At 42.9% G+C, this 8350-nt stretch overlaps 1 long non-coding RNA gene across 1 annotated transcript in view, besides 1 other annotated feature; it reads left to right on the forward strand.

Annotated features, from left to right (window-relative positions):
- Window positions 1427-2013: an enhancer, noted in NCBI's record as "H3K27ac-H3K4me1 hESC enhancer chr2:184037030-184037616 (GRCh37/hg19 assembly coordinates)". NCBI's record gives its function as "activates a minimal SCP1, AML or CMV promoter by ChIP-STARR-seq in naive H9 embryonic stem cells {active_cell/tissue: H9 hESC(naive)}" and the evidence as "EXISTENCE:reporter gene assay evidence [ECO:0000049][PMID:30033119]".
- The window catches only part of LOC124906103 (uncharacterized), a 41076-nt gene continuing 36189 nt past the window's right edge, over window positions 3464-8350 (forward strand). Inside the window, exon 1 of the long non-coding RNA XR_007087332.1 lies at window positions 3464-8032. This is a non-coding gene — a long non-coding RNA (uncharacterized LOC124906103). The remainder of the gene's footprint in view (window positions 8033-8350) is intronic.

Here is an 8350-nt window from a genome sequence, read left to right on the forward strand (position 1 = left end):
TTTCTCCTGAAAGTTGATGATCTTCGTTCTATTCATGTTCTGAATTCTATTTCTGACATTAAGCCATTTAAGCTTGGTTAAGAACCATTGCTGGGGAACTAGTGTGGCTGGAGATGAGAAGACATTCTGGATTTTTGAGTTACCAGAGTTATTGTGTTGGTTTTTGCTCATCTGTGTGGGCTGATGTTCCTTCAGTCTTTGAAGTTGCTGTCTTTTGGATGTTTTTTCCCCCCCTTTAACCTTCTTTGTGGTTTCACTGTGGTATAAAGTGAGTTCAGTCAACTGGCCTTAATTCTAGTCTGCTCCTGGGTCTTGGAGGATCCCCCCTCAATTACTGTCTCTGTGCCTTCTTTTTTCCTTCCTTCCTTCCTTCCTTCCTTCCCCTTCTTCCTTTTCTTCCCTTTCTTCCCTTTCTTCCTTTCTTCCTTTCTTTCTTTCTGTTTGAGGCATAGTCTTACTCTGTTGCCCAGGCTGGAGTGCAGTGGTATGATCTTGACTCACTGCAACCTCTGTCTCCCGGATTCCAGTGATTCTCCTGCCTTGGCCTCCTGAGTACCTGGGACTACAGGTGCCTGCCACCATGCCTGGCTAATTTTTGTATTTTTAGCAGAGACAGGGTTTCATCATGTTGGCCAGGCTGGTCTCGAACCTGTGACCTCAAGTAATACGCATGCCTTGGCCTCCCAAAGTGCTGGGATTACAGGTGTGAGCCACCGTGCCTGGCCCCTGCTTTTCTTTTGTTCGGTGTTCTTGTCCATGGAGCTCCCTCAGGCAGGTGTCACAGGTGTAGACAGGCCATATACTTGCTGGGTCAGCCCTAATCTGCTCTCTGAGTGCTTCCTGGGGGGACATAGGGTTGTGCCTGCCCAGGCATAAGCAGGACCCCTGGACTAGAAGCTTTAGTGGATATGGCCTTTCTTATGAGAGTGGGTTGGAGTTGCCTGCCCTGCCATCCAGGCATTTTCGGGGCAACAGGAGGCTGTGCCCCTCAGCAAATTCAGGCAGAGGCAGGACCTCTGGACTGGAAGCTCTAGCAGGTGTGGTTCTCCTGGAGTCACCCACCCTGCTTTCTGGGTATTTTCCAGGACAACAGGGTGCTACAATCAGACAGAAGTGGGACAGCTGGGCTGGAAGCTCTAGCAGGCATTGCTTGCCTGGCTGCCAGCCGTAGGGGTGAGTGGGGTCATCCACCCTGTTATCCAGGTGTTTCCTGGGACAACAGGAGGCTGTGCCCACCAGCTAAGTCTACACAGAAGAGGGACCACTGGGCTAGAATCTATAGCAGGTATTGCCTACCTGGCTTCTAGTGGTGGGGTTGGCTGGGGCCACTCACCCTGTTATCCAGGTGCTTCCTGGGCAATAGGGGGCTGCAAACTCTGGCTGAGTTCACACAGAAGTGGGACCCCTGAGCTGAAAGCTCTGGCAAGTACTGCCCACCAGGCTACTAGTAGTAGGGGTGGGTGGGGTCACCCACCCTCCTGTCTGGGTGTTTCCAGGACAAGAGGCTGCAGCCACTGGCTGAGTCCAGGCAGAAGTGGTTCCGCAGGGCTGGAGGCTGGCACCAAGCCTTGTCCAGCGAGGGGGTGTGGAGTAATCTTACTGCTCCCAGGCACCATGACTATAGCCTCTATTGGGTCTGTGGCACCAGTGCTGGTCTGCTCTGGGGCTCAAGGCTTGTCGAGGTCCCCTTGGACTTGAGTGTTGCCCCTATAAAATGTCCTGGTGTCTCTCAACCTCAGTCCTCAAAGCACAGTGGGGGAGGTGCAGGGGAGCCAGGAGGATTCTCCTGTTCTCAGTCTTGCACAGGTCCCTGTGGAGAGTGTGCGTCCTCCAGGGGGCTCTCACTTTTTGATCCTTTTCTGTGTTGGAGAGATTCTCCTGCCTCCGCCCTGAGCTCAGACAGGCTGGTGCCCAGCTTCGCTCCTCTCTGCTCTCTCTGTTCCCCTGCTTCCTTGATGCATCCTGATGTGTTTTCTCAGATGGTTGGCCTGCAGGGTCAGTGTTCACTAGCCGTTTTGTTTCCTCTCCATGAGAATGGCACGCGTGAGCTGCTTCTAGTCTTCCATCTTGACCCAACCCCCAAGGTTATTTGATTTTTAAACCACTTAGGTGAACTTGAGAAATATTTTACATGAATCTCCTGGGTTCTAATCACAGCTCCTTAATTAACTACTAATTAAAGAATATTTGAAAAGACTATTTTAAAAACATGAAGCCAAATAAAATATTTCTTTTTGGTCATATAAAAAAGTATACTTAAAACTTTACAACATGCAAAGGATGATCTCAATGTAAATCACTGGACACATTTGGACACATTTGTTAACTATGAATATTTAAATAGTATCAAAGTGCTGAATTCTTCATGTATTTTGTTTGTGCTAGCACTTATTGTCTAGGCTGAGGCATAGGGACATTCTTGGGACAAAAAAGCATCTCTGACCCAGAGGACACATATGCATCCTTTAGCTCCAAGATCTCCAAGTTTTGCCAACTGGGAGAAACATCAGGGCAATGTGTGCTGGGGTAGAGGCAAAGACACAGGGAAGGGACTCCAAACTTTTTTCTTTCTTTTTTATTGAGACGGAGTCTTGCTCTGTCACCCAGGCTGGAGTGCAGTGGCACGATCTCGTCTCACTGCAGCCTCTGCCTCCTGGGTTCCAGTGATTGTCCTACCTCAGCCTCCTAGGTAGCTGGGATTACAGGGACACGCCACTACACCTGGCTAATTTTTGTATTTTTAGTAGAGACGGGGTTTCACCATGTTGGCCAGGCTGGTCTCAGGAGCGTTGGTGAAAAAGGTTTCTCTGGAGCCTTTGGGTCATGTCTTAAGTTATCAGGTTATTTCTTGGCTCATCAGCAGAAGATATTTTATAAATTTAAATCATCTATGTCTTCCTGGTTGGTTTTTTTTTTTATATGTAGTAAAGTCTTGCAGCAGGTTTTAAAGCACAATTTCAAGTGGCATTTAAATAGATTGTCTATTTTATTTTATTTATTTTATTTTTTTGAGATGGTGTTTTGCTCTTGTTGCCCAGGCTGGAGTGCAATGGCGCAATCTCGGTTCACTGCAACCTCTGCCTCCCAGGCTCAAGCAATTGTCCTGCCTCAGCCTCCTGGGTAGCTGGGATTACAGGCACCCGCCACCACGCCATGCTAATTTTTTGTGTTTTTAGTAGAGATGGGGTTTTACCATGTTGGCCAGGCTGGTCTTGAACTCCTGACCTCAGGTGATCCACCTGCCTCGGCCTCCCAAAGTGCTGGGATTACAGGCGTGAGCCACTGGGCCCGGGCAATTGTCTATTATTGAAAACAGCTTTCATGTACTCAAAACTTTAAAAACTTATCTAACTCAAACTTCAGATGTACCTCCATCTTGTGGCAACTTGTCAGAAGTGTTCAACATGAAAAAGTTTTAGAGTAAAAATGTTTTTTCCTTTTTTTTTTTTTTTTTTTTTTTTTGCTTTTTTATACTTTAAGTTCTGGGATACATGTGCAGTACTTGCATGTTTGTTACATAGGTATATATGTGCCATGGTGGTTTGCTGCACCCATCAACCTGTCATCTAGGTTTTAAGTCCTGCATGCATTAGGTATTTGTCCTCATGCTCTCCCTCCCCTTGTCTCCCAACCCCCGACAGGCCCCAGTATGTGATGTTCCCCTCCCTGTGTCCATGTGTTCTCATTGTTCAACTCCCACTTATGAGTGAGAACATGCGGTGTTTGTTTTTCTGTTCTTGTGTTAGTTTGCTGAGAATGATGGTTTCCAGCGTCATCCATGTCCCTGCAAAGGACATGAACTCATTCTTTTTTATAACTTCATAGTATTCCATTATATATATATATATATATATATATATATATGCCACTTTTTCTTTACCCAGTCTATCATTGATGGACATTTGGATTGGTTCCAAGTCTTTGCTATTGTAAATAGTGCTGCAATAAACTTAAGTGTGCATGTGTATTTATAGTAGAATGATTTATAATACTTTGGGTATATACCCATTAATGGAATTGCTGGGTCAAATGGTATTTCTGGTTCTAGATCCTTGAGGAATTGCCACACTATCTTCCACAATAGTTGAACTAATTTACACTCCCACCAATGGTGTAAAAGTGTTCCTATATCTCCACATCCTCTCCAGCATCGGTTGTTTCCTGACATTTTCATGATTGCCATTCTAACTGGCATGAGATGGTATCTCATTGTGGTTTTGATTTGCATTTCTGTAATGACCAGTGATGATGAGCTTTTCTTTCATGTTTTTTGGCCACATAAATGTCTTCTTTTGAGAAGTGTCTGTTCATATCCTTTGCCCACTTTTTGATGGGGTTTGTTTTTTTCTTGTAATTTGTTTAAGTTCCTTGTAGATTCTGGATATTAGACCTTTGTCAGATGGATAGATTGCAAAAATTTTCTCCCATTCTGTAGGTTGCCTGTTCACTCTGATGTTAGTTTCTTTTGCTATCCAGAAGCTCTTTAGGTTAATTAGATCCCATTTGTCAATTTTGGCTTTCATTGCCATTGGTTTTGGTGTTTTAGTCATGAAGTCTTTGCCCATGCTTATGTCCTGAATGGTGTTGCCTAGGTTTTCTTCTAGGCTTTTTATGGTTTTAGGTTTTACGCTTACATCTTTAATCCATCTTGAGTTAATTTTTGTATAAGGTGTAAGGAAGGGGATCCAGTTTCAGTTTTTTGCATATGGCTAGCCAGTTTTCCCATCACCGTTTATTAAATAGGGAATCCTTTCCGTATTGCTTGTTTTTGTCAGGTTTGTCAAAGATCAGATGGTTGTAGGTGTGTGTCATTATTTCTGAGGCCTCTGTTCTGTTCCATTGGTCTATGTATCTGTTTTGGTACCAGTACCATGCTGTTTTGTTTACTGTAGCCTTGTAGTATAGTTTGCAGTCAGGTAGTGTGATGCCTCCAGCTTTGTTATTTTTTGCTTAGGATTGTCTTGGCTATACGGGCTCTTTTTTTGTTTCCATATGAAATTTAAATTAGTTTTTTCCAATTCTGTGAAGAAAGTCAATGGTAGCTTGATGGGAATAGCATTGAATCTGTAAATTACTTTGGGCAGTATGGCCATTTTCATGATATTAATTTTTCCTATCCGTGAGCATGGAATGCTTTTCCATTTGTTTGTGTCCTCTCTTATTTCCTTGAGCAGTGGTTTGTAGTTCTCCTTGAAGAGGTCCTTCACATCCCTTCTAAATTGTTTTCCTAGATATTTCATTTTCTTTGTAGCAGTTGTTAATGGGAGTTCACTCATGATTTGGCTGTTTGTCTATTATTGCTATATAGGAATGCTTGTGATTTTTGCACATTGATTTTGTATCCTGAGACTTTGTTGAAGTTGCTTATCAGCTCAAGGAGTTTTTTGGCTGAGATGATGGGGTTTTCTAAATATACAATCATGTCATCTGCAAACTGAGACAATTTGACTTCCTCTCTTCCTATTTGAATACACTTTATTTATTTATCTTGCCTGATTGCCCTGGCCAGAACTTCCAATACTATGTTGAATACGAGTGGTGAGAGAGGGCATCCTTGTCTCATGCCAATTTCCAAAGGGAATGCTTCCAGCTTTTGCCTGTTAAGTATGATACTGGCTATGGGTTTGCCATAAATAGCTCTTATTATTTTGAGATATGTTCCATAAATACCTAGTTAATTGAGTGTTTTTAGCATGAAGTGGTGTTGAATTTTATCGAAGGCCCTTTCTGCATTTATTGAGATAGTCACGGTTTTTGTCATTGGTTCTGTTTATGTGATGGATTATGTTTATTGATTTTCATATGTTGAACCAGCCTTGCATCCCAGGGATGAAGCTGACTTGATCATGGTGGATAAGCTTTTTGATGTGCTGCTGGATTCAGTTTGCCATATTTTATTGAGGATTCTCACATTGATGTTCATCAGGGATATTGGCCTGAAATTTTCTTTTTTTGTTGTGTCTCTGCCAGGTTTTGGTATCAGGATGATGCTGGTCTCATAAAATGAGTTAGGGAGGAGTCCTTGTTTTTCTATTGTTTGGAATAGTTTCAGAAGGAATGGGATGAGCTCCTTTTTGTCCCTCTGGTAGAATTTAGCTGTGAATCCGTCTGGTCCTGGGCTTTTTTTGGTTGGTAGGCTATAAATTACTGCCTCAATTTCAGAACTTGTTATTGGTCTATTCAGGGATTCGACTTCTTCCTCATTTAGTCTTGGGAGAGTGTATGTGTCCAGGATTTTATGCATTTCTTCTAGATTTTCTAGTTTATTTGCATAGAGGTGATGGTAGTTTGTATTTATGTGGGATCAGTGGTGATATTCCTTTATCATTTTTTACTGTGTCTATTTGATTCTTCTCCCTTTTCTTCTTTGCTAGCCTGGCTATCTGTGTGTCTACTTTGCTAATCTTTTCAAAAAACCAGCTCCTGGATTCATGGAATTTTTGAAGGGTTTTTCATGTCTCTATCTCCTTCAGTTCTGCTTTGATCTTAGTTATTTCTTGTCTTCTGCTAGCTTTTTAATTTGTTTGCCTTTGCTTTTGTAGTTCTTTTAATTGTGATGTTAGGGTGTCAATTTTAGATCTTTTCTGCTTTCCGATGTGGGCATTTAGTGCTATAAATTTTCCTCTAAAGACTGCTTTAGCTGTGTTAGAGATTCTGGTACATTATGTCTTTGTTCGCATTGGTTTCAAAGAATTTATTTCTGCCTTAATTTTCTTATTTACCCAGTAGTTATTAAGGAGCAGGTTGTTCAGTTTCCACGTAGTTGTGCTGTTTTGAGTGAGTTTCTTAATCCTGAGTTCTAATTTGATTGCGCTGGTTTTTCCTTTCCAGATTTAGTGCTTCCTTCAGGAGCTCTTGTAAGGCAGGCCTGGTGGTGACAAAATCTCTCAGCATTTGCTTGTCTGTAAAGGATTTTATTTCTCCTTTGCTTATGAAGCTTAGTTTGGCTGGATATGAAATTCTGGCTTGAGAATTCTTTAAGAATGTTGAATATTGGCCTCCACTTTCTTCTGGCTTGTAGGGTTTCTGCAGACAGATCCACTGTTAGTCTGATGGGCTTCCCTTTGTAGGTAACCCGACCTTTCTCTCTGGCTACCCTTAACATTTTCTCCTTCGTTTCAACCTTGGAGAATCTGACAATTATGTGTCTTGGGGTTGCTCTTCTCGAGGAGTATCTTAGTGGTGTTCTTTGTATTTCCTGAATTTGAATGTTGGCCTGTCTTGCTAGGTTGGGGAAGTTTTCCTGGATAATATCTTGAAGTGTGTTTTTTTAACTTGGTTCCATTATCCCTGTCACTTTCAGGTACACCAATCAATCGTAGGTTTGGTCTTTTCTCATAGTCCCCTATTTCTTGGAGTCTTTGTTCATTCCTTTTCATTCTTTTTTCTCTAGTCTTGTCTTCACACTTTATTTAGTTGATCTTCAATTTCTGATATCCTTTCTTGCGCTTGATTGATTCAGCTATTGATACTTGTGTATGTTTCATGAAGTTCTGCTGTGGTTTTCAGCTCCATCAGGTCATTTATGTTCTCTCTAAACTGGTTATTCTAGTTAGAAGTTCCTGTAACCTTTTATCAAGGTTCTCAGCTTCCTTGCCTGGGTTAGAACATGCTCCTTTAGCTCAGAGGAGTTTGTTATTGCCTACCTTCTGAAGCCTACTTCTGTCAATTCGTCAAACTCATTCTCTGTCCCGTTTTGTGCCCTTGCTGGAGAGGAGTTGTGATCATTTGGAAAAGAGACATTCTGATTTTTGGAATTTTCAGCATTTTGCCCTGGTTTTTCCTCATCTTCTCGGATTTATCTACCTTTAGTCTTTGATGTTGATGACCTTTGGATGCGGTTTTTGTGTGGGTGTCCTTTTTGTTGATGTTGATGTCCTTGCTTTCTGTTTGTTGGTTTTCCTTTTAACAGTTGGTCCCCTCTTCTGCAGGTCTGCTGGAGTTTGCTGGAGGTCCACTCCAGACCCTGTTTGCCTGGGTATCAACAGCAGAGGCCTCAGAACATCAAAGATTGCTGCCTGCTTCTTCCTCTGTAAGCTTCATCCTAGTGGTCATCCCCCTGATGCCAGCCAGACCTCTCCTGTATGAGTTGTCTGTTAACCCCTGCTGGGAGATGTCTCTCAGTCAGGAGGCATGGGGGTCAGGGACCCACTTGAGGAGGCAGTCTGTTCCTTAGCAGAACTGGAGTGCTGTGCTGGGAGATCCACTGCTCTCTTCAGAGCCAGCAGGCAGGAACGTTTAAGTCTGCTGAAGCTGTGCCCACAGCTGCCTCTTCTCCCAGGTGCTCTGTCCCAGGGAAATGGGAGTTTTACCTATAAGTCCCTGACTGGGGCTGCTGGCTTTCTTTCAG

This window comes from Homo sapiens, chromosome 2, assembly GCF_000001405.40.
Source record: "Homo sapiens chromosome 2, GRCh38.p14 Primary Assembly".
Classification (NCBI taxonomy): domain Eukaryota; kingdom Metazoa; phylum Chordata; class Mammalia; order Primates; family Hominidae; genus Homo; species Homo sapiens.